We start from the raw sequence: 25,770 nt of genomic DNA, 5'->3' as shown, positions 1-25,770 counted from the left end.
TCCAGACACAAATTAGATTCTCATAAGGAGCGCACAACCTAGGTCCCAAACACAGTTCATAATAGGGTTTGGGTTCCTATGACAATCTAATGCTGCCATTAATCTGACAGGAGGCAGAGCTCAGGTGGTAATACAAGCAATGGGGAGTGGCTGTAAATATAGATGAAACTTGGCTTACTTTCCTGCCGTTCACCTCCAGCCATGCAGCCCAGTTACTAACAGCCCACAACTGATACTGGTCCATGGCCTGGAGGTTGAGGACCCCTGAGTTGGAGGATATTTGTATGCAGGAGTAAGAGCAATGGCTCAGATTTTCTAGGGTTGTTCTCTGTGATTTAAATGGTAACCAGATGCTCATGGGTCATGAATGTCAAGGGTGGTCTTTAGTGTTGTGAAGAAAGTCCTATAGATTTCTCACTGACTTGAGTTACTTATTTGTGCAATGAGACAGTGAAATTGATTTACCCCACAATGATTTCTTATGTGGTAACAGGAAGGTTAATGGTAGGAAACCAGTGGCCATGGTAAAATGATGCCCAATGACCAATTTAGGAGGGCAGCTACCTCAGAAGCCACCTCCATCCTTGAAATCTGACACTTTGCATGACTTACATGAGAAAATGCTGACTCTTTTAAATAGCCTTCTACTCATCAGGTCTCACTTTCACGCTGAAAACCTCTCGGTTTAGTCTAGAATCTAGGAATTCAGGGGTATATGGTAAGAGAAGGAAGTGCTGGAGCCTAAATGGAATTTCACAAGTGATGTCATTGCTGGGGAAGAGGAGGCTGAGAATCAGCCTACCAGCTGGTTCCTTAGTGGCCAAGAGATGTGAGGAACTGATGCAAGTTTTTAGATAAACCAGAACTAGTTCAGCAATGTCTAGTCTATTTTTTTGCCTTATTTTTGCCCTAGGCATTTGGACCTATAATAGTTTTAAAAAATGACAACCAGATGTAGTCCTTACACTTATGCTACGTACGATCTTGAGGGAGGGATGACAATAAAAATAAATAATTATATAGTTAAAAATAGTTGGGCAAAGATACAGATAAGAGAAGCTGACATATGTGGGTTACAATCAATGTATTTTCTCTTAAGAAGTAAAAAGTCCCCAGGACGCCTGTCTCCCCATATGGACTTAATTAACTTGGTTGATATTCAGACTTGGTTTGGGGCTTTTTCAGGGGTGGGAGGGGCAATTTTGGTGCCATGCAACATTCAGTATTTTGATTCCAGGAAAGAAAAGTGATAATGATCCATATTCCATTGTGTACTTTTTATATAATGCAAAGTTACCAAATGTGAACATTTTAATTGGGCTATTCTAAGCAGTACCATTGTTATAGGCCTTCTTGTCAAGATGAATCTTACATTAAAACATTTTTCCCAAGCAACCACAAAAACCCAGAATCATAAAAAATTTAAGAATTGCTAAAATACAAAGGACCTGTACCTCCTTACATTGTTTGTGTTTTGCATTTCACTCAGCTTGAGTAATGAAGCTAAATTTGGTTCGTTTCTTTTATACTTTGCCTGTCTCTAATGAGTTTCACTTTTGATTTTCCATGAGCTCACTGAATGATGTTGTTTTGGGGGCTTACATGGTCCTGGCATTTTTGTCTATATTCTCAACAAGCTTACGGTCATGGAAAGAAAACATTTCAGGGCATATGAGGGTTTGTAACGGCTTGGATACTTTGTCAGAGGACACTTAACTTTGGGGTTAAAAATACTTAAATAGGAAAACGAATGGAATTTTATGGAGCTTGGGTTTATCCTGAAATAAGAAAAGTCAAGCTTTATAGTCCATCGATATTTTTGCAGATGCTTAATAAATTTCACAATTATGCTGACTTTTGTTGAAGCACTATAATATAAATGGATATGTTACAGTCTTTAATTTTTAACTGTTGATGTGTGTTATAAATCCCGGTAATGTAGGCACTGTATATATTTAATAAACACAGCTTGGCTGCAACATATCCTTCTAATAAGCATAATGCGAGCTCAGTCTGTGCCAGCTTGGTTAAACCAACAGACGATTTTAGCAGGAACAAAATGTTTTCGGTTTTCAGAGAATTCTTCTGTTATTAATTGGTAATATGAATGAGAAATCACTCTGCACCTTGCTATATGTTCTGTTAAAACACTCATTTTAAATGAAATCTTTTAAGGTAAATAATTATTATTGAGTACAAAATGGCTGAATTGTATCATTTATGCCAAGTCTTTCTAATTATTTAGTATTTTTGAGTAAAAGGGTAAGACTGCTGCCTCTGGATAGGTGACAGAAGTGGAGATTAAGCTGGCATTATCAGTGGTTTATATTCAGCTGGAGGATTACCTCACTCCCTTGCCTCTTCGCTACGTTGGGTATGCTGCCTTGTGGCCATTCTGCTGTTCATTAGCACCTCTGCCAGAGGTGTGTGGGATGAGAAATCCTAGTCAGCCCCACTTTACTCCTTGTCAGCAATTCTGGTAAAAGAAGGAGCAGGGGACAAGATTGAAACTAATGGCCGAAATGAGGTTTGAGGATTACCTGTGGTTTTCATTAGCCCTCTTCACTGGTTAACAAGCTGAATCCAGAGCTGAATGCAGTATTTTTTTTATTCACCTGTATTTAGTCACTGATAAAAATTCTGGTTTGCTATTTATGCCATACTAATAAGCAGGATATAAGAAAAACTGAATATACTAAAGAACTATAACTTAGTTTTGAAAAAATGATGTTACTATATACACAGATAAGGGTGAGATTTTTAAACACACACACACACACACACACACACACACACTCTTTATAATCAATTCCTTGCAAAGTATCTCATCTTCTGTGGTGTTTTCTGTTATTTTTTTTTATACGAATGGTTATTAGCATAAGACACATTAGCCCGAGAGTGCCTTAGTCAATTGTTCCAAAATGAGACAAAGAAATTTAACACGGATTTAGTAATGGTTTCATGAAACGTGACTTTAAAATTGCAAGTGTTTGATGTCATTAAATAAACACAGCACTGGCCGGGCGCGGTGGCTCACGCCTGTAATCCCAGCACTTTGGGAGGCCCAGGCAGGTGGATCACGAGGTCAGTAGATCCAGACCAGCCTGACCAACATGGTGAAACCCTGTCTCCACTAAAAATACAAAAATTAGCCAGGCGTGGTGGCGCACGCCTGTAATCCCAGCTAGTCAGGAGACTGAGGCAGGAGAATTGCTTGAACCCAGGAGGCGGAGGTTGCAGTGAGCCGAGAACACGCCACTGCACTCCAGCCTGGGTGACAAAGCGAGACTCAAAAAAACAAAACACAAAAATCGTAGCACAGCACTTCAGTTGTAGAAATCAAGAATCAAGAGTATACAACTACATAAAAAAAAATTATCAGCTTTAACGTTGTGTGAATCGGTGCTTGAGATAAAATAGCAAGTGTCAGCATTATATGTGGGTTGACATAGGGCAGTATCTCAAAGAACTCAGGCAGATGCGAATGGAGAGAGCACCCTGGAAAGCTGTGTCAGATGACTCAGTGGCCTTGGTGAAAATCAATATAATGATGTTAAACACGTATGTGAAAAGTATGAATGAAATTATTTTGTAAAATATGTGAGTGGATACAGCAATATTCCCCAGTAATATATTTAATATAGTCAACTTTAATATGAAAGTATAACTAAATCAACAAAACACTGTAAGTAGACATTTGACAATTTTATCTACACTCCTAAGATCTTTATATATATTCAATTTGTCCAAAAATGACTTCAGGATTTTTATCAGAAATATCAAGGATGATCTTATATTCAGGGTTAGTCTTATGTCAGAGCATATATTAATTTTTTAAAACCAGGTTAAATTTGACTGTGCCAGTTTTAGCTACGAGAGGCAGACATATCTCTAGGCAGACAGGGATGGGTCCCCAGTGAAATCCAACCTTCAACCCAAAGATAGTTTAAAGCCTGAAAACTGAGCTGTGGTTCTGGATAGAGCCCACAGCTGGAGTGAGACTTACCCTCTCTCTCTCTCTCTCAGTTGGTTCCTTCTGGATGATGGCTTTTAACCAATTGAATGGTGCTTTTTCCAAAGCCTACCCATGGACCAATCAGCACGCACTCCCCCATTCTGAGCCAACAGAAACTCTGGACTCAGCCTCACAGAGGCCTACCTGCCTTCAGGCCGCTTCTCACAGCTGAGGGCAACCCGCTTTCAGGGTCCCCTCTCACTATTGAGAGCTTTCCTTCTGTCACTCAGTAAAATTCTTCTCTGCCTTACTCTCCAGTGTCTATGTACTTTATTCCTCTTGGTCGTGGTACAAGAACCTGGAACTCGCTGAGCTGTGGGTGGTGAGAACAAACGAGCTGTAACACGCCCCCTTTTTCTGAGCTGTGGGCAGCAGGTGCGAAGGGAGCTGTAACAGGCCCCCAGTTTACCACGGTACGGGCGGTGGGAGCGAAGAAAGCTATAACACGCCCCTGTTGGCCTAGCTGTGGGTGTGAAGAAGTGAAGCCACTGGGCGCCATTCCCTCCTGGCTGTCTTGCAGAACTACAAAAACTGCAACATTTCTTGGGGGCTGAGACCTCACCACTCCCTGGGTGAGAGCTGTGACACCCCTTGGGGCTCTGCGGTTGCCGCCATCTCTGAGGTTTCAAGCGCCACCACGTTCCCCTTGTCTAGACACTGGTGCCCAACACAAAATTTACTCGTGACACACCTGGTCCATCTGTGGGCTAAGCAGAGTCCCTTTTCTGCCGCGGGATCTGGGCTGGGACACGGGCTGAGTGCAGCCTGCTGGGCCGAGTGGGCAGAGCAAGCGTAGCAGGCCCGAGCAAGGCCTTAGGCAGAGGATATGGCAGGCGCAAAGATTTCTTGCTGGCAAACTGGCACCAAAAAAATCCTGTAACACTAGCAATCGAAACTATCATTAATTGTAGAGGGAAATATAGGATTAGCCCACTACCAAGGAAAAAGAACATTTGAAGAGAGTTTGATAAATTCAGCACAAATATAATACATTTTAACCATACCTGCCTCCAAAATAGTCTAGGCCATTTTATGGAATTCTATATGATTTAAACCTAGATTTTCATTGTTAGGAAAACTGAGATAGGAAAGTTTATTGAACGTCAAACTCAGTCTTTGAGACATAGGCTCCTTTGAAACTGTTCTTTGGGTGAATCAAAATCACTGCCAATGTACACATTAACATTTGTGAATTGACTAGAATGTTCATTTCATAGCATGTAACTGATGTTGCTGTTATTTTAGTCAGTTTTTTAAAATTAGGATTTAGGCAGCCAAGCATTACATGAGGGTAAGGGTGATTTAGTTTTCTGTATTAACATGGCAGCTTGCATCTTTTTCATGACATTTTTCTATAAGATATTGGTATTGAGAACACGTTTTGCTTTTGTTTTTAATTCATGCATCAAAAGAGGTATCCTGGCTGGCCTGCTTGAGCCCAGGAATTTGAAACCAGCCAGGGCAACATAGTGAGACTCTGTCTCTACAAAAAAGAAATAAAAATTAGATGGGCGTGGTGGCATGTGCCTGTGGTCCCAACTACTTGGGGGGCTGAGGCAAGAGGATGGCTTGAGCCTGGGAGGTCAAGGCTTCAGTGAGCCATGATTGTGTCACTGCACTCCAGCCTGGGTGACAGAGTGAGGCCCTGTCTCAAAAAATATAAATAAATAAATAAGAGGGACATCGTGAGCCACAGAATTTCAACTTTGCAACAATTCAGTAAGTAGAATCTAGTCTATGACTCTCCTTGTTTCCTTTAACCTTATATGAGCATAACAGTGCTCTGAGTCTCCATCTTCTATGTGGAATTAGCCTGCGCAATCTGTGAAAAAATATCTCCCTTTTCATTTAGGTGACCTTGATGATAGTCCACAAGAAAGGAACTTCTGGAGCTTTCCCTGACCAATCTGTGAGAACCTGCAGACTGGAGGCTCTAGAACCAGGCTCTAGAACCTATTGTCTAGGCCTCCCTAGAATCCCCCAACCTAAAACCAAAGCTTAGTCCAGAAAACTAACAAATGTCAAGTACCATCTTTCCTGGACGAGCCAGGAACCTGTTATTTTCCTTAAGGTGACTTCTTAAAATATTTGAATAGTGTTTTTGTATTGCTGTTTTTGTATTTTGGGAATAGTCTGGAAATTGGTACTGAAATAGGTGATTGAAGCCTGGGGATCCCCTGGAAGCTGGAGAATTATGGGTTAATATTTGGTAATATCATGAATTTATATTTTATTTATTATTTGACAAACGCTTGGGAAAAGACCAGAGTTCAAATGTTACCTTAGAGAGTGTTTAGTATAAGCAGTGCAAGTTAGCCACTAGCTCATTCCACATGTCATGAATATGGGCCTGATGTATGTTATACATCAATAAAAATTATTTTATTTTTCTTTGGATTGTCAGGCATCTTACAGCAAAATAACATGGTGGAAGGATAAGAGAGTTGAACAAGCAGCATATGAAGTGAGGTTATTTGGGAATTCCACTGCTTTGGAGAAGTGGGGACTTAGCTGAGGCTAACGACCTATCTTCTGCACAGCACTGAGTGAAGCCAGCTTCATGTAATGGGGAATGATGTGGGAGAATACTCAAATACATGCAGCAGTGGATGTGGCACAGATGGCTAAGATGAGGAACACTATGAAGGCCATACCTTCATTATATGTGTAGAAATGCTCATCCTGTTCTAGCCTGGCCACCCAGAGCAGACAGGCATGAAAGTGGAGGGCAGGGACCCACTGTCTTTGAGTTGGTCACTCTGAACTGACCAAGTCCTTGTGGAGAGTGAGCCCTCGGTGAAAATGAATTTGGCATTATATGTCAGACTGCTTATTCTAGCTGAAGAGAGAGAACAGCAGTGCGGAAGAATCAACCTGAGATCTACACAGATTCACAAGTTTATTAAGTCTATACAGTTTCACAAGTTTATTAATATTATTATTGTAAATCGACATTGTCCTGTCAATTCCTGTCTGTGGCATACTTACAAGTTGTTAAATGATATATAATACCTTTGAGAGATGGGATGAGATGAATGAAAGTTATTCGTTTCACTTACAGTTTTAAACAGGGAAATGAAGCACAGGCAGAAAACTATTTATGAAAGCTCCCCACAATGTCTCTGAGTAGCAGAGCTACCAAACCTGTTGTCTTCCTAGTAGAGCAAGTGAGACCTAGGCAGACCAATTACACTGGATCAAGGATAGCAACCTTCTCCCTTGGTCTCTTTATGGTGACCATTTGGAAATCATGCCTGGTCTATCTATTGAGTTTTTATGAATTAAACCATTATATTGTTCAGATTAAAAAAATTTAGTCTTGGTGTTATTAAGCAGACAACAATATTGTTGAAATATAGAGCTACAGGATGTGTGTGAAGAATAGGGTAGGCAAAAGAGTAGTAAGAGAATAAGGAGGAATAATGGCAATCAACATAGCGGATCTCTAAGAAACTGTTAATTAGAGATATGATATGGTCTATTAGTTGTATAAGTTTTCAATTGCTGCTTTAACAAATTGCTTCACACTTGTTGACTTAAAACAACAAAAATTTATTATCTTACATTTTTATGGGTCAGAGATCCAATACAGGTCTCACTGGGCTATAATCAACATGTTGGCAGAGCTATGTTTGTTTCAGGAGGCACGAGGGCAGAGTTCCTTTCCTTGCTGTTTCCAGCTTCTAGAGGCTGCCCACTTTCTTCGACTCATGACCCCTTCATCTTCAAAGCCAGCAACATCCCACCTCTTTGACTCTTCTTTCATCATCATGCTCTTTGACCACAACTGGGAGAAATTCTATGCTTAATGGCTCATTTGATTACTTTGGGCATGCCTGAATAATCCAGGATAATCTCCCTAGCTCAAAATCTGTAATCTTAATCACTTCTGCAAAGTCCCTTTTTTCATGGAAGGGAACCAAATCATGGTTTCTGAAAATTAGGACATGAACATATTTGGGGAGCTATTATTCTGCCTAACTCATTAATATATTCTGCTCTTCCATCCCCACAAATTATCTTCCTTTTGCTTAGTCATAGAACTTTATCTTAAGGTTTTTATCAGTTCAATCTTTCCTCACTTTTTTTGTTCATTCACCCATTTGTCTATTTCTCTACTTCTTCATTATTTACATATGTATGAAATATTTATTTAACATCCCTTCTGTGTCAGATTACTCTCTAATCTCTTGGAAAAAATATAGGGAAGGCAATTGTTCCATGACTATTTCAAAAATATGTAGACAACTTCATGCTTGTTAAATAGGAAGTACTAAGTAGAAGACTGAACCCTATTGTCAGAGTAAGTATATGGAATAATGTTGGTCCTGAATGCTCTGTGACATTCATGGGTTAATTTGTTCGATAAAAGTACTGTGATAGAGACTGTTAGGTGTACCCCCAAGTCTATTCAGCCTAGGGCTGACCAAAGAGATTGTGTCTAAATTTACTAAGTTAGGTTCATATGAATTTATTAAGTAAGGGTTGGCCGTCTATAGCCCATGGGCCAAATCTAGCCTCCTGTTTTTATAAATAAAGTTTTATTGGAATACGGCCATACACATTCATTTACATAATTTTTTTTTGCAGCTCTCATGCTATAATGGTAGAGTTAGGTATTTGTGACAGAATCTGTATGGCATAAAAAGCAGAAAATACTTAATTATCTGACCATTTTACGGAGTACATTTGTCAACCTCTGGTCTGAGCCAACAGGAAACTTGCAGTATCTGTTAAGGTGCTTTCAGTATTAAGTAACAGAATGTTTAACTAATAGTGGTTAAATAATGAAGAAAGGTATTATAGCATGAAAAGTAAGTGTAAGGTTTCTTCATTACATGCCTCAAAGAAATGATCAAAGACCCAGGTCCATTCAGCCTTTCTTCTCTGCCACATTGGCAGGTTGGCTCATCTATTCATGGTCCTAGGCTGGCTCTTACCTTCCCAGGCATCACACGCTCATGTACCTCATCACAGGCAGAGGAATGGGGCCCTTCCTTCACAGGTCACTCCTTATCAAGGAAGGATGGTTTTCTTATACCTCCACATTGACCCTGGAGGAAACTTGTTTTTTTTTCCTTCACTTTTCACTAGAGAGAATTGCATCACATACTCATGGCTAATTACTGGCAAGGAGGGCAGAATGACTGTGACTGACTTGGGCTATCCAAAATTTATTTTTTGGAACTGAGAGAGGTCCTTTCCCCAGCACGTGGCTGCTGGGAAGAACGGCCATACAAAACTGCCACCCTGCTGGGAAGAAAATGATAGAAAATGGCTATGTGGACAAGTGTCTGTCCTCCTTGTGCTAGCATCTGTGTGCCAAATCTAATGCCTTTCATCTCAGATCTGCCCATGTTGACTCATTGCGTCTACTCCACTTACATTTTATGCTGCCTGACATTTTCATGAGTAAAGTACCCAACTTTTGAATCAAGAAACCAGTTTTGGATTTCTGCCCATGTTTCTCTCCTGACCAAAACCTCTTATTTCTAGCACAGTGGTTGAATGAGATGCTGTGGAACTATATTAGGAGTCAAACTGACCACAATTTGTATTTCAGGTATGCCAATTACTTACTATGCCACAGGACTTTTCCTCTTTAAAAGGAATATAATAATAGATCCCATTTCACAAGTTATTATAAGGGTAAAATGAAATGATTTAAATAAAGCATTTAACACAGTTCACATAGAAGTGTTCAGTGAATGTTGTGTTTTACAATTATCCCACTCCCATCATTGCACAGGATGTTCATAGTAGTACTTCCCTGAGATAAGCCTGAAATAGGACATGAGAATAATAAATTAATGGTTTTCACTATTCACACAAACCTCAATCAACTTTTTGAATGAAAAGATAAACTCTAAGGTCTGAGATTGTCATGCTGACATTCTGAATTTTGGGATGCTGGCTAAGAACAGGAGGGCTATAAACACATGCAAACTGGTTTGGATTGAACTGTGCAAACCAATTATTGGTAAGTTTGTTGATATTATATTTAAACCAAAGAAAGTATTTTATGTTACTTAAAAGACAATGCCTTGGGAAACAAACACTTAGACTGAAGGGGTAGGCCATAGCATTTAAGACATCACCAGGTTTGACCTTACAAATCTAGCCCTTATATTTTCTTAATCTCCTGCTGGTTTTACATTCTAAGTGTTTCTCAGATTTGTCTCTCCTCTATCTCTACTACCACGATCCTTATCTGACATCTGGACTACTGCAATATTCTTCTTAAAGGTCTTCCTGCTTTTTCATATCCAACCTCTCTAACAGCGCCAGATTAAAATACAAAAGGAGCAAAGTGATTAGATGGCTCTTCCCTTTAAAAATATAAAATGAGAACTTCTGCTTCTGGACATGGTAAAGTAACTGATATTAGACTTACCATGTCTCTTCTAAAGAACAGTAGGCCTGGGCAAAAAGCATATGAGGTAACTGTTCTCAAGCATCTAACAACAGGCTGCATAGAACCACGGTCCTTGAAAGAAGGGACATTCATAAGGCAAACCGCATTTACCTCACCTTCCTGCTAAGAACATCTTTCCCAATGGTGGGAGGTAGAGTCCAAGCACAGTTTAGCTGATGAAAAGGCAGAGATCAAAATTTAGAGACGCTGAAGTGACTAGATTTTAAAGCAAAAGGTATTTGAGAGGAGAGCCCTGTGTAAAGGGAGGGCCCATAAGTCAGCTTGGGAAATTACTTTGAGTTGTTTCCCAAGTGCCAGGGTGTGTATACATAGGGCAAGACTTTCTGAAGTCTAGAGAAGATGGCTTGCTCTGGGGCTGAGAGGTGAGCAAAGCTATCAGAGGTCATGCAAGGCTGAAACATGGTGGGTTTCTGGCCCACCAAAAGTGAAAAGACCTTTCTGGGTACCTCTGGCATTACATGGAGGCATGAGAAAGGCCATGCCTAAGCCATAAATAGCGTGCACTAGAGAAAGAACCATATTCTAGGACTAAAGCAAAATCTAAAACAGAGTAGTCCTCACTAAGCATAAACAGTTTAATAAGGTTAAGAAGATCTTCCAGTAATTTAATTGCCTTGCTGAAAATAAATACAGCAGAAAACATAATCTATGCTCTCTACAACGTAAATTTAAAAATTACCAGACATGCAAACAAGCAGGAAAATATGACTGATGATCAAGTAACAAAAATTAGTCACTAGGAGCAGAGACTGGAATGACCCAGATGTTGGAATTAGCAAACATTGCCTTTAAAGCAACCATTATAAGTATGTTCAAAGATTTGAAGGAAAAGAAGACAGAATGAGTGAATAGATGGGGAATCTAAGCAGAAAAAGGTAATCTATAAAAAAAAAACCACATGGAAATCCTAGAACTCAGAAAGACAATATCTGAAATGAGAAATTCACATTACCAGTATATTGTATATTATAGGAAAAATCGCTAGCAAACCTGAAGAGAGATCATTTGTAATAATCAAATATGAAGAACAGAGTAAAAATAGACTGAAAATAAATGATCAGAGGCTCAGTGACTTGTGGGACAATATCAAGTGGTCTCAGTTATTTGTAATTGGAGTTTATAAGAGGAAAAGGAAAATAGAACAAAAATATTTGAAGAAATAATGGCTGAGAATTTCACACTTTGGTGAAATAATCAAAGTACAGTTTTAAGAAGATCAGTAATCCCCAGGAAAAACATATACAAAAAAAACCTAGGTACATTACAGTCGAAGTGTTTAATAATAAAAATTAAAAGCTATCTTAATAATAGAAAAAAGAGCATTGCATACAAGGAAATGACAATATACAAATTATGGCTGACCTTTCATCAGAAACCAGGAAGCTTACAAGACAATTGAAAAATACTTATAATGTGCCAAAAGAAAATAAAACACTCAGTCCAGAGTTTAACATCCAGAAAACATTCTTCAAAAATGAAGGCAAATTAAGGTACAGAAAAACAAAGCTTGCATATTCTCACTTATTTGTGGGAGCTAAAAAAATTAAAGCAATTGAACTCAGGGAGATAGAGAGTAGAATGATGGTTACCAGAGGCTGGGAAGGGTAGTGGGGGTTGGGGGGAAGGAGAAAGAGGATGATGGTTAATGGGCACAAAAGTTTAGTTAGCTAGAATGAATAAGATCCCTTATTTGATAGCACAACAGAATTACTACAGTCAAGAATAATTTATTGTACATTTAAAAATAACTAAAATATAATAATTGGATTATTTATAACACAAAGAAGTAATAAATGCTTGAGGTGATAGATACCCCATTTATCCTGATGTGATTATTATGCATTACATGCCTGTATCAAAATATCTCATGTACCCCATAAATGTATATATCTACTATATACTTACAAAAATTAAAAATAAAAAAAGAAGGCAAATTAAAGGCAGTTTGGGTAAAAAAAAATCTGAGAGAATTCTTTGCCAGAAGACTGGGACTATAAGATATGCTAAAGAAAGTTCTTTAGAAATGATACTGAATGGAAAATCAGAGGTACAGCAAGAAATGAAAAGAACTAGAAATGATAAATATGTGGATAAGTGTGAAACTTTCTACTTCCCTTAGAAATTTTGAAAGACTATGGTCTGTTTAATGCAACAGTAATAACATTTTATTGTACATTTTAAACACATTTAGAAGTAAAATATAAGCAACAAGAATACTCATGATGAGGGATGACTATATGGACATTATATTATTTATAATGTTATAAGATTCCTGTATTTTATGTGAAGTGATACAATATTAGTTCAAAGTGGACTTTGATAAGTTATGCATTTCGATAACTAGACTAGTAGTACTAAAACAGTAATACACAGAGGTATACAGAAAAGTCTAAGAAGGAAATAGAATGGCAAACTGAAAAATATTATATTGACACCAAAGAAGTAAAGAAAAGAGGAACAAATATCCGATGGGCTAAATAGAAAACAAGAAACAAGATGGTACATTTAAACTCACTCATATCGTAACTATATTAATGGAAATATACTAAATAATATGAAAATTCAGAGACTTTCTGACTGGATAAAAACAAGATTTAATCACATTTAGAGAGCTATATCTTAATATCAAAGCATTAGAAATTGAAAGTTAATGTATGGAAAATATATTATGCAAAGAGTAAGTACAAGGAAGCTGGTGTGGCTATGTCGATATGAGATTAAGTAGTCTTTTCTTTTTCTTTTCTTTTCTTTTTTTTTTTTTTTTTTGAAACAGAGTCTTGTTCTGTCACCCAGGCTGGAGTGCAGTGGCATGAACTTGGCTCACTGCAACCCCCTTCTCCAGGGTTCAAGTGATTCTCCTGCCTCAGCCTCCCAAGTAGCTGGGACCACAGGCATGCACCACCATGCCAGGCTAATTTTTTAATTTTTAGTAGAGACAGGGTTTCACCATGTTGGCCAGGCTGGTCTCGAACTCCTGATCTCAGGTGATCCGCCAGCCTCAGTCTCCCAAAGTGTTGAGATTATGGGCGTGAGCCACCGCACCCGGCTAGATTAAGTAGTCTTTTAAGGCATAAGGATTGTCAGAGGCAAGGAGGTTTACAAGAGAAAAAGAGGGGATATTTCGTAATGAGGAAGGGTGCAATTAATTAGGAAGACACAACAATCATAAATGCATATGCATCAAATAATAGATTCTCAAAATGTGTAGGCAAAATTTACATAATAGAAAGAAGAAACAGATAAATTTACGATAATAATGGGAGGTATTAACCTTTTTTCAGTAATTGGCAGAAAAAGTAGGCAAAAAAATTATTGAGACAATAGATTTCAGTAACACTAGCAACCAAGTTGACCTAACAATTTATAGAACACTAGTTTAATAACTACAGGATTACACATTCTTCTCAAATAATCATTGATTATTTAAAGAGATACACCATATAAATGGGATAAAAGTAAGTTTCAACTCATTTTAAAAGATTAAATTTTATAGATAATGTCCTCTAGAATTAAATTAGAAATCAATAGCAATAACAAATCTAGAAATACTTTAGGTATTTGGAAAGTAAAGAATATTTTCTGTGTAACCAATGGGTTACAGAATAAATTGCAAGGGAAATTAGAAGATATTTTGAGCAATAATAGTTACAATTTATCATCCAAACACTTACGTGATGCAGCTAAGACAGTGCTTGGAGAAAAATTTATAGTTTTTTATTAGAAAAGATAGTACATTTTAAATAAATGACCTAAGCTGCCTTCTTAAACTAGATAAAGAGTACATTAAATGCCAAGTTAAGTAGAAGGAAAGAAATAACAAAGATAGAAGCAGAACAAGTGAAATAAAAATTAAATGAACAACAGAGAAATGAATAAAGCAAAATGTGAATTCTTTGAAAATATTAATAAAGCTAATAAACTTCTAGCAAGACTGTTTAAGGAAAAACACTAGAGAAATAAATATGACTGAAAGAAGGAACATCATTATATATGATCTAGATATTAAAAGGATAGTAAGATAATATGATGAATAACTTATTTCAATACTGTCAACAATTTATATGAAAGAGACAAATTCCTTAAAAAATAATTTACCAACATTGGCATAAAAGGAAATATAGAATTAAAATAGAACTACATTTATTAAATAAATATATAATGCATATATTAAATGAATTAAATTTATAATTAAAACAACTTTTCCATAAAGAAAATCTCAGGCTCAGATAATTTTCATGTTGAAATTTATGAAATATTTAGTAAAGAAAAAAGCCAGCATTACACAAATTCTTTCAGAAGATAGAGGAAGGAACACTTTCCAATTCATTTTATGAGGCTAACATAACCTGGATACCAAAATCTGACAAAAACATTGTCCTCTTCTCCGCAATTAAAAAATAACAACAACAACAGCAAACATTTTTTTAAAACCCCTAGGAAGCTAGGCATAAAAGAAAATTCCTTCAATCTGATAAACAGCATTTATGTATAGCTATGCTCTATAGCTAACATCAGTTTTAGTGGTGAAATATTGAACATTTTCCCAAGATTGGAGAAAGGCAAAATTGCCTGCATCCACCGCTTCTATTTAATATTGCACTTGCAATAAGGCAATATAAAGCAATCAAAGCAATAAAAATTAGAAAGGAAAAGCAAAACCGTCTGTATTTGCACACTGTGTGAAAGTGTGCACATATGATATTTCTATGACACATAAAAACGCTAAGGAATCTACAAGGCAATTACTAGCCATGGCAAGTACAAATCTGATAAGTCAAATTTGCAGGATACAAACTCAAAATACAAATAAATATTAGTTGTAGTTTTATATATTTGATGAAAACAAATTAAATTAAATTAAAAATTAAATTTAAAATTTCAAATACAATTTAAATAGTAAAAACAAGACAAACTTCATGGATAAGTATAACAAAGTATGTGCAAGAATGCAGCACCAAAAAGTATAAACCATATTAAAAAAATCATGGAAGACTTAATAAATGAAGAGCTGTTCATGGATTGGAAGACTCAAGCATGTTAAAATGTGAGTTCTGCTCAAATGATCTACAGATTCAATGATATAAAAATGATCTGTGTTGTAGAAATAGCTTAGTTAATTCTAAATATATATGGAAACAAAAAATAATAGTCAATATAATCCTGAAAAAGAGTACGTTTAGAGAATTCATGCTACATTTCTTAAAGACTTACTACCAAGCTACTTGTAACCAGGATATTATTATTTCTCTTTAATTGCATATTATGAAAACATCAACATATATAAAAGATACTGAATAGCATAATAATGTAACACTCATGAACCCACCTTTCAGTTTTAACAATTATCCACTTACATCAACTATTGTTGATATAACTCTAAACTTTGACTTTACTTCAATTGATTATTTCGTCTTAATTTGCTATCCTAAAACATCAAAATTGAATTTTCCCCTTATCTCATATGTAGTTACTCTGTGGTATAGCTCATGTAGGAAAGACAGAATCAATTGTTTATTTCCCCGCTAGTTTATCAATTGTTTAAATGAAGAGGTGGAACCCTAGCATCTTCCAGAGTTGACTAATTTTTATCTAAGAATTATCAAAGGTGCCTGGGTTTAACATACTTAATGCTTCACAGTGCTTTGCAGATATATCTTTATTGATGCTCAGTTGTTCTATCTTGGATTAAAATGGGTTTATTCAAGTTGGTTGCTGAGTATCCTTGATAGCTTTCTTGCTTGTGCTGGGATAATCTTGTATATTTCTTGTCTCACATCTGGAATTAGCAACCACTTAAAATATTATTTTTTCCTTCTTATAGAATATGGTAATGGGAGGGAAAATCTGAGTATTGGGGTGCTCATTGCTGGTGGGTTGATCTTATCATAGACATTTGCTGTGTAGAAAATGTGTGTGTGTGTGTGTGGGTGTTGCTTTGTGTGTGCTGTGTGTGTGTGTATGTGTTATAAATAAAATAAATATGTCATTGACTTTTACCAATTCATTTTCAGGATATCAAAGTTTGTTACCTAACATATTAATCCCATATATAAAAGTAAATCATGATATTTTAGATTGGGGTACAATTTTTTATATGAATTGTAATGCTTTTAATTTTGACATCAATAATAAATGAAGAGGGTGCCATTTTTATATGTCTCTTAGGTAGAATGTCTTGGGTAGAACGAATTTCTCTGGATCACTTAATGGGCCAAACACCAATCAGTTCATGTATTTTAAGTTCCCATTATTGTTTTGTGCTAAGCAATGGAAAAAATACGGAAAATACTGGATTGATTGATTGAGAATTCATTATTTTGATCACTATTCTGCTACTTGGAAATATTTGCATGATCCAGAGTGTTCAGTAGGTTACCTTCCGCAGTTACCTTTCTCAGTAGTTTCCTCTGGAAAATAACATTTTCTTGATCATATTTAAACGAGTGTGCAAACATAGTTTCAAGACAAATTTCTTTTTTTCTACCAACTCTTTTTTCTACAAGGTTTCTCCCACCCCCAGACACCCTCATAAAGAAATTCTGTAGCCGCCATTGTCAAATGATAATAGTTAAATGGGGAACCGATTTGCTAATAACAAGACAAGAGGAAAGTAGAACTATGTTCCAGGGTGTTTGCTAAGTACTTTCACATGAAATAATAATAATACCCATACGTAAGCAGACTTACTGAAATTCACATTATTTGAAACACTTTCCATATATTAACACCTGACCCCATAACCATCATTTTCATTGTACAGATAAAGAGACTGAAAAACAAAGAAGTGAATCAAGTTGCCCGGCTCAGGTTCCATACTCTTTACCGACCTGGACCACCTCTCAGCATGTTATCTAATCTTATTGGACATCCAGAATAATTTTTTTGGTGTAGATATCACTGTCCCCATTTTACAGATAGTTAAACTGAGGCTCAGGGAGATTAAATGATGTAAGTACACAAAACTTGAAAATTTGGACCTAAGATTTCTAAATCAAAAACCTGTGTCCTCTGTTTTAGATACAAGTGAACAGAGTAATTATTTAGATAAAGTAGCTTATTAGTAATATATAATTTGTCTGTTTTTATTTTATGTAACAGAATATTAAAATGTTATAAATTACAGAAGTATTAAATATAGAGTTGTGTATTAAAATGTATTTGGCAACTTGATTAATTAAAGAAATAAGTAGAGGCAAGAATTCGGATGTCAGTGGTTTGTTTTTATACAGGTCAGTGAGAGTGTATTTGCCTCTTTTCTCTTAAAATAAATAAATTAATAAAATGATGCACTTTGGTGTGCCATATTTTATTCTTTGCTAGCAAATTTTTTACTTTATTTTATTTTATTATTTTATTTTCTTGAGATGGAGTCTCGTTCTGTCACCCAGGCTGGATTGCAGTGGCACGATCTCAGCTCACTGAAACCTCTGCCTCCTGGGTTTAAGTGATTCCCCTGCCTCGGCCTCTTGAATAGCTGGCACTACAGGCGCGTGGCACCATGCCTGGCTATTTTTTGTATTTTTACTAAAGACGGGGTTTCACCATGTTGGCCAGGCTGGTCTCAATCCCCTGACCTCAGGTGATCTGCCCACCTTGGCCTTCCAAAGTACTGGGATTACAGGCGTGAGCCACGTGCGCAGTCGCAAATTATTTTAAAAATTAATATATAAGAAAAATGGAACTGGCTAGTTTATTTTTATTCAAAAGGAAAACAAAAATCCTCCTGGTATAAAGAATGCCTGGATAAAAATATCCCCAGATTATCCCAATGAAAATCTTCTTTCTTGCAAACAGACTCAGATGGGAAAAGCTTAGAACTAGTTGGAATTAGGTGACCACATTAGATAAAATGGAAGTAAAATTTGAAGGATCATTTACAGGCATTGACTCTTCATGTGTTTGGCTCTGCCAAATGCATCCCCAATCAAGAGACTCAGCCCTCCAAAAAATTCATGACATGCTGATGTGTATATGGGTCATTTATTGACTGTAATCATAGGACTTGTGTTACTCTGTTGAAATTCAATATTGAATATATTGATGTTAAAAAATCTGCAGTCTTGGTTTATTGGCCTTATCATATTTATTTTTTAAAACCTTAGAGTCTTCATTAATAACTGTAATTAAGGAGAAAAATTATAATACCAACTTTGTTTTCCAGCTATTTTTCATAGTAAACAAAACAGAGGTACACCAAAGACATGTAAAAAGCGATTGAACTGCATTTTAAGGAGAGGCTTGATATTTCATAAATGTCTTTAATAAAATACATCTGTAAAATGTGAAATTATTTTATAATTCTAGGCACAGATCATACAATCTTTGAGAGTAAAAGGATGGATCAAGACCACAGGAAAGAAGGGATGAAGCTGTGGAGAGTGAGGATGAGGAACATTGCAGATGACTGGAGGCCAGCTCCCTGACCTTCCCCTACTGCCACTGCTGCAGGCCCTGGTCAGGGGAAGTAAAACTGACACTAGCTGTTTATCATGCTTTAAGACCAGAAAGTAAAATGAAAACCATTACCACCTCTCAGGATGCAAGAAGGCACAAGAAAGGACTAAACCAGTTGAAGATGTTATCTCAATGGAAGAAGGAATCCTAATTAAATTGAAGTCTTAACAAAAAGACGGTCTATTTCACAAGACTGATAGAGACATATACTTGATGAGTCAACTTGGTCTTTTCAAGGCTTTACTCTGGCTTCTCTTCTATTTATGTGTACGATTAGAAGGATAAACAGCCTATAAGAGCTTGCTATCTACCAAATCCAACCATGCAGTCTTAAAAATTACTTCTGGGTTTACAGATAATTCTTGTATCAAATAAGTTGATATGAGGCACCAAGAATTAGTAGGATTGGACTAGAGTCAAACCCACTGCACTTATCAAGGCTTTACCAGACCCTACTGTGTCCTTTATGTGTTGAAGTCTAAGGATATCTAGAAACATATGGCATGATCACTGCCCTCAGGGAGCTGACAGCATTGTATGCTAGCAAGAGGCAAAAACAACAAAAGAGAATGTAACTTATAACTGACTGAAAGACCAATGTGTCATTTTGGAAGCAGAGAAGCCTGATTTTGGGCAAACTTTTTAATGAGAACTTGAGTTTTCGTATCTGTAAGGTGAAAATAAGACGATCAACTTATGGCTGAAATGGCAAAGATACATTTCCTATGAGACGGCCTTGTATATAATAAGCATTCAACACATAAGAACAGTGATGATAATGCTAATAATGATATAATGATGCCCCTAAGTGACAGATAGAAAATAATTGGACTATTAGGGATATCTCTACAAGCTGGAGTGGTTGAGCAAGGCACCTTAGGGTTAATGGGATCAGAACCCAGTGGTTCTGGGCCCTGAAGTATGAACAAAGGTGAGTGAGGCAAAAATGTGACCTGTGTAAGGATCACTAAGGGAACCATCCTTAGACCCTTAGAGTCACAGGAAGTTTATACTTTGGCCTTGGGAGCAGGTAATGATACTTAAATGAACACATTTGTCCATAGTCTATGAATGACTCAGCCATGAGCCTCAGTGCTTATGATTACTGTGGAATTGGTGCCAGCTTGGCCTCATCAAGAATGCTAAATGTAATGTAATTTTAATGACTTCCATTGTATTCGAGGCTTCCTTGCTAAGATCCAGCATCACATTGCACATTTAAACTACCTGGGTATACTAATGAAGATTAATTGTTCATTGATTAAGGAAGGATGAATCACCCTATTACTGATGTGAACTTTCCTTCCTGAAGTAAAAGTGTATTGAGCTTCAAAATATTGGCTCAGATATGGTGAAAGGCTCTATTTAATTGTCTTCCATTTTATTTTACCCTGATGATAATGGTAACAAAATACTTATTCCTCTTGAAAAAAAATCAAATGGAAGTTTTATTGGTTTTTTCCAAAAATATACAAAAGTCCACACACAGTGATTGAGTATAGTAGAGGGTTTTATTAACACCAGTTTCCCAAAAATTGAATGAACTTGTTCCTATGAATCAACCCCTGATAATAAGTGTTATCATTTAGGATTGCATTAAGCTGCATGTAAACAGAATCCTAAACACAGTAGCTTAGTCAAATTAGGGGTTAATTTTTTGTACCTAAGAGGGAGACTGGAGAACTCAAGGAGGTGGTTTTTTTTTTTTTTTTTTCTCCCTCCAATTTCATTGATCTGAGTGTGTGATATCTGGCATCTTGGTTGGAGGTTGGCTGCTGTACCAATGTGCACTATGTCTGCATTTCCAGGCAGGTAGAAAGGGAAGAGCAGAGAGCCAAAATGCCTGTACCATCTGAATCAGTCTATTTTTTGTAGGCAAAAATGGAAGGCAATGTCTTTTTCTAGAGTATAATATATACCCAACATATATATCCAACATACTTCTGTTCATATATTTTTGGCTGGATCCATGACTCATAGCTATCCATTGTTTCTCAAAAACCTAGGAAACCTGATTGTCTTTTAGTTGAGAACATTGCTTTCCTAAACAGAATCGGAGTTCATTTAGCAAGGAAAAAGGAGGAGATGGCCTATGTTGATTGGCATAGTCAATGGAATGGGTTTCCTTGCTAGGCTTCTCCTTGAGGGGAAGACTCTAGGAACATGACCATGACATATTAGAACTCCCTGCAGCATTATCAGAAAAGCAGTGGTAAGGAAAGTGGCAACCACATGATTTCCAAACCTTAGAATACCTGACTGGGGCTGGAGAACTCCTGACCTTCAAGTTCAGCTCTGCTTCTCTCAGGTTTCGACAGCTTCTCTGTTGTCCCCAGGTAGATTTTCTGCTTTCATAGTAGATCCTTCTTTATTTTAGCAGTATGGTCTGATGGATGCACGCGTGCTATAGACATGCAGTCTACATGGCAGTAAGGCACCACATTAAAAAGTACAGCATCTAGAGGTAGAATACCTACATCCAAATTGTAGCTCTGTCACTAATGTAGCTATGTGATCCTGAGCAAGTTGCTTAATCTTCCTTTGCCTCAGTCTTCCTATCTATCAAATGGTAACAATATCCTTCTTCATAGGGTTTTCCTGGAGATTAAATGAGTTAATATATTTATAGTATTAAAAATAGCACCCATCACATAGTAAACACTCAGTAAGCATTAGCTGTTATTTAATTCAACAAACTTTAAGATAGATATATAAAATAAAAATGATATGAAATCTAACCTTTTGAGAGTTTAATTTGGGAAGACAGATAATACAAAAATACTTGAGAACAATTTTAAGACAGATTTTAAGGAATTGCATGGTGGGGTAGTAAACTATGAGGCCCTTTTTTTGCCTCTGCGTTATTATTTATCTTGTTAGATGAACGTGAAACTCTGAGTTTGGGCACTGAATCTTCCACCTGTTTGTATATCCAGGGCCCAGCTTATGATAGACACTCAGTACAAATTTATTGATAATTATTACAGGAAACTGAAGTAATTTGAAGATCATTGTATTTTTAGTAATTGAAAAAAGACTTCATGAATTATGAGTTATGATCTGGAAAGAATTATAAGAATTCAGTAAGCTGAAAAGAAAAGCAGAAAAGAAAAGAAAAGGGCATTCTAGTAGGGAAGGGTATGGTAGAGTGTGATGGAATGCTGTGTTAAAAAGGACAATGGCAGCAATGTGTAAAATGTACATGGTGCATGGCAGATGACTGACTTATTTGATCTTGGACATGATGGAGTAGTGATGAAGCTGATTTTATCAGTTGGTTGAAGACTAAATATCTTATGAATATTTTTGGATATCAGAATTGATCTGAGACACAGTAGAAACAATGACAGATTCTTTCACAGGAAAATATCATAAGAATATTCACATTTTAAGAATTAAGCAGTGGAGTGCATAATTAGTAAAATTTGAAAAAGAAAAACTAGAGGTAAGAAGACCTATTAGGAGATGATTAAAGTCCAGAGGGGAGGTCTTAAAAAGGGCAGCTTCTCTTCAAAGGCCTGAGATTAGAAGTGCAGTCTCAGTCTCTTTTTGAGGGTATAATAACAGCTTCAAAAGGCATCCTAGTTGCTTCCTAAATTCCCTAAGGAATTCTAAGCATTTTTCTAAACACTCAAAATCACTTAGGAAGAATTATTCTTTCTAAATATGGGAAAATAAATTGCAAAGTGGGAAAAAAATAACTGGTTAGTGTATATAGATTTTTAATCCACCTTTATTTTTAAAAGTTATTCACTTGCTGGAGTTTTTGTTTAGTGGCACCATACTGTAACATTTTACTTTACAGGGCTGCATTTTTTATGATCTGAAGATTTTTGAAAGGATTTTGTATCCTTTATTACATGATACATTCTATCTCCCTTATTAATCTGTTGTCCCTTGAAGTAAGATAATCGATGTATATTTTTCCACCTTCTACATTGTTGAAAGTGATGACTTTAGTTAATACTATAGCAATTCAATGAAACCTAACAGCATGAAATCTTCCAAAATTCTCATGAAAGGTACTGACAATACCTTGCAATAAATGAATGAAAACTTATTGATTGGCTTATATGTGCTAAACATTCTGAAACTCACCAATTATATAATGTTGAATGAAACAGACATAATTCATGCACTCATGAAATCCACCATCTAGCTCATAAGACTGATAACAAACACATAAACAGATAAATAAATAAGAAATTCCAGTCGGGCATGGTGCCTCGTGCCTGTAATCCCAGTACTTTGGGAGGCTGCTGCAGGCAGATTGCTTGAGCCTAGGAGTCCAAGACCAGCCTGGGCAACATGGCAAAACCTTATTGCAAACAAAAAGCAAACAAACAAACCCATCCCCCACCAAAGAAGCCCCCAAGATTAGCCAGGCATGGTGGCATGCTTCTACAGTCCTAGCTACTAGGGTGGCTGAGGTGGGAGGATCACTCGAGCCTGGGAGGTGGACGTTGCAATGAGCTGGGATTGTGCTCTGCACTTCAGCCTGGGTGACAGAGCAAGATCCTGTTTCAAAAAAAAAAAAAAAAATTCTGATGAGTTATAAAGGAATTAAACAAAATGTTGAGGCAGAGAAGTGAGCATGTGGTAAAGTGTGAGAGGAGTTGAACCTATTCAAGAGCATGGTCACCTCCAAGGAAGAGATATTTAGGTGGAAACTGAAAGATAAAATGGAACTAGTCTTGTAAGTTTCAGGGGAGAAGCATTTTAGTAAAAGATACAGCATATGCAAAAATATAAAGTTGGTGTATCTCTCAAGGCACACTTAAAGATAGTAGGTAAAGAATTACATCAAATATTTAAAGACAGAAGGACTTACAAAGGTATGGGCAGAATTAAGAACAATCAACAAGCGATGGTGAAATACCTTAGTTAACCTCCTGCAGAGAATAATGTTAAAGTCTGAAGAAGATATTAAAAAAAAAACTACTTAAAGGTACTAGAGAGCAACCAAATATAGGTAGAAATGGAAGAAAAGTGGACCTCTGAAAGAAGGAAATAACACTAAATATTTCTTATTTTACCACTGTTTGCTGGGTGGATGGCTTCAATCACAGAAAGAGCATGCTGGCTAAGACTCAGAATGCTGTAGTTTTATAGACTTGAAGTCCCAGAGGACAGGGTTCAGAGCTAGCATAGTAGGTGGAAAGTGAAGGAAGTAATCTTGACAATGAAGGAACCAAAGAGGTGGAGAATTAAACACTCTGTGTAAACGTTGCCCAAATTTCTGGCTAACCCTTTAAACTGCGAATGCATAGGCAGGTTCTACGGAGCCCATCTAAGACTAAAATAACAGAACAGAAATCTCAGCTGTTGCCCAGCACAGGGACGATAACATTTAGACTTTGAATTCAGAGAAGTTAACTGCCCACTAAAACAAACAAATAAAATATTCAACAATCTTTGGAGGAATATCACAGAATCCAGAGTCTCTACAAGATATTATGCAAAATCCCACACTCCTATACATATAAAAAAGCAGGAAACATGACCTATACTCAAGACAACAAACAGTAAAGACTGACACAAATTACCTGGGTGTTGAAATTAGCAAACAAGATTTTGAAGTAGCTATGAAAGCCATGCTCAAGAATACAAAGGAAAATATGCTTGTGATAGATAAGCAAAACTGAAGAAGAATAAACAGAGGAACAACAAAAAATGGAACAAATGGTAAAATTATATATATATATAGATCTACTATCAATATTTATATTTAATATAAATGGACTTAATCCTCCAAATAAAAAGGAGACTATATGTTATTTATAATAGATAAATTTTTAATATAGTGGTACAGATAGGTTAACAATGCTAAAGTAGAATTCAAGAAAAGAGTTTTACCAGTAGGACCTGTATGTGTATTTATTTATATAATTATATTTATGTTTATATTTATTATGAGAAATTGGCTTATTCAATTTTGGGAGCAGGTTAATCAAATGCAAAGTCTGTAGAGGTTGCAGTCAGGAAGGGAAGATAATGAACAAGTTCAAATCTTACCAGCATGGAATAAGGCTTGTTGTCCATAGCTAATCTAGAAGAAAATATCCATGGGAAACAATAATAACTGCAGACCCAGTGGCTGTCTGAAATTTCCCCCTTAGGGAAGACCTAAGTTCTCTGTTAAAAGCCTTCCAACTGATTAAGTCAGGCCCACCTCAAATGAATACTCTCCATTTTGATTAATTTAAGATTAGCTAAGTAGACATTTTAGTTCCATCTGTAAAATCCCTTCATAGTAGCACCTACATCACTGTCTGACTGAAAAAGTCGAAGATGTATATATGCTTTAAAATATATTCTTCCTCCCTTGTAGTCTCCAACTCTAGCCAAGAAATATCCTTGTAGTCCACACTTCCAACTGGAAATCTACTGGAAAGAGAAGTCTTATGACTGTAGCTAAGCCTAATCAAGTTAACATATCAAAAGCTATCAGGCCAGCAATAAGAACAAATATTTCATAGTGATAAAAAGTTAATTCATAGAAATATATAATAGTTATAAGTGTGTATGTGTCTAATAAGAGTTTCAAAGTACAATGAGCAAAAGTTTACAGAATTAAAGGAAGATACAGATAATTCCACAATAATTGTTGAAGATTTTAATGCTCCTCTCTCAACAATTGATAGAACAATTGGTAAAAAATCAGCAAGGTCATAGATAATATAAACACTAGCCACTTCCTTGACCTACTTGATATTTATAGACCATTAAACCAAATAGCTTGCACCTAAGTTTAGAAACAAAATAAATATTTTCACCCTCAACCTTCCCATTGAAAACTGCATGAAGTTCTCACCAGTGTGACATGGCAAGAAAATAAAATAAAGGACATAATTATTTGAAAAAA

General features: G+C 36.5%; 1 long non-coding RNA gene across 3 annotated transcripts in view; it reads left to right on the top strand.

The window, feature by feature from the left end:
• LOC105370767 (uncharacterized) overlaps window positions 1–22,965 on the top strand; it is a 51,260-nt gene extending 28,295 nt beyond the window's left edge. For 2 of the 3 annotated variants that reach the window (XR_932108.3, XR_932109.2), the window contains exon 2: window positions 18,756–22,965. This is a non-coding gene — a long non-coding RNA (uncharacterized LOC105370767). Of the gene's footprint in view, window positions 1–6,019; window positions 6,087–18,755 lie in introns of those variants that run through there. The other variant, XR_932106.1, reaches the window with a different exon arrangement.
• Window positions 22,966–25,770: the final 2,805 nt, after the last annotated feature.

The sequence above is a fragment of the Homo sapiens genome, chromosome 15, assembly GCF_000001405.40.
Source record: "Homo sapiens chromosome 15, GRCh38.p14 Primary Assembly".
NCBI lineage: Eukaryota > Metazoa > Chordata > Mammalia > Primates > Hominidae > Homo > Homo sapiens.
The sequence above is the reverse complement of the archived record's forward strand: the minus strand, read 5'-3'. Positions and strand labels throughout refer to the sequence as shown.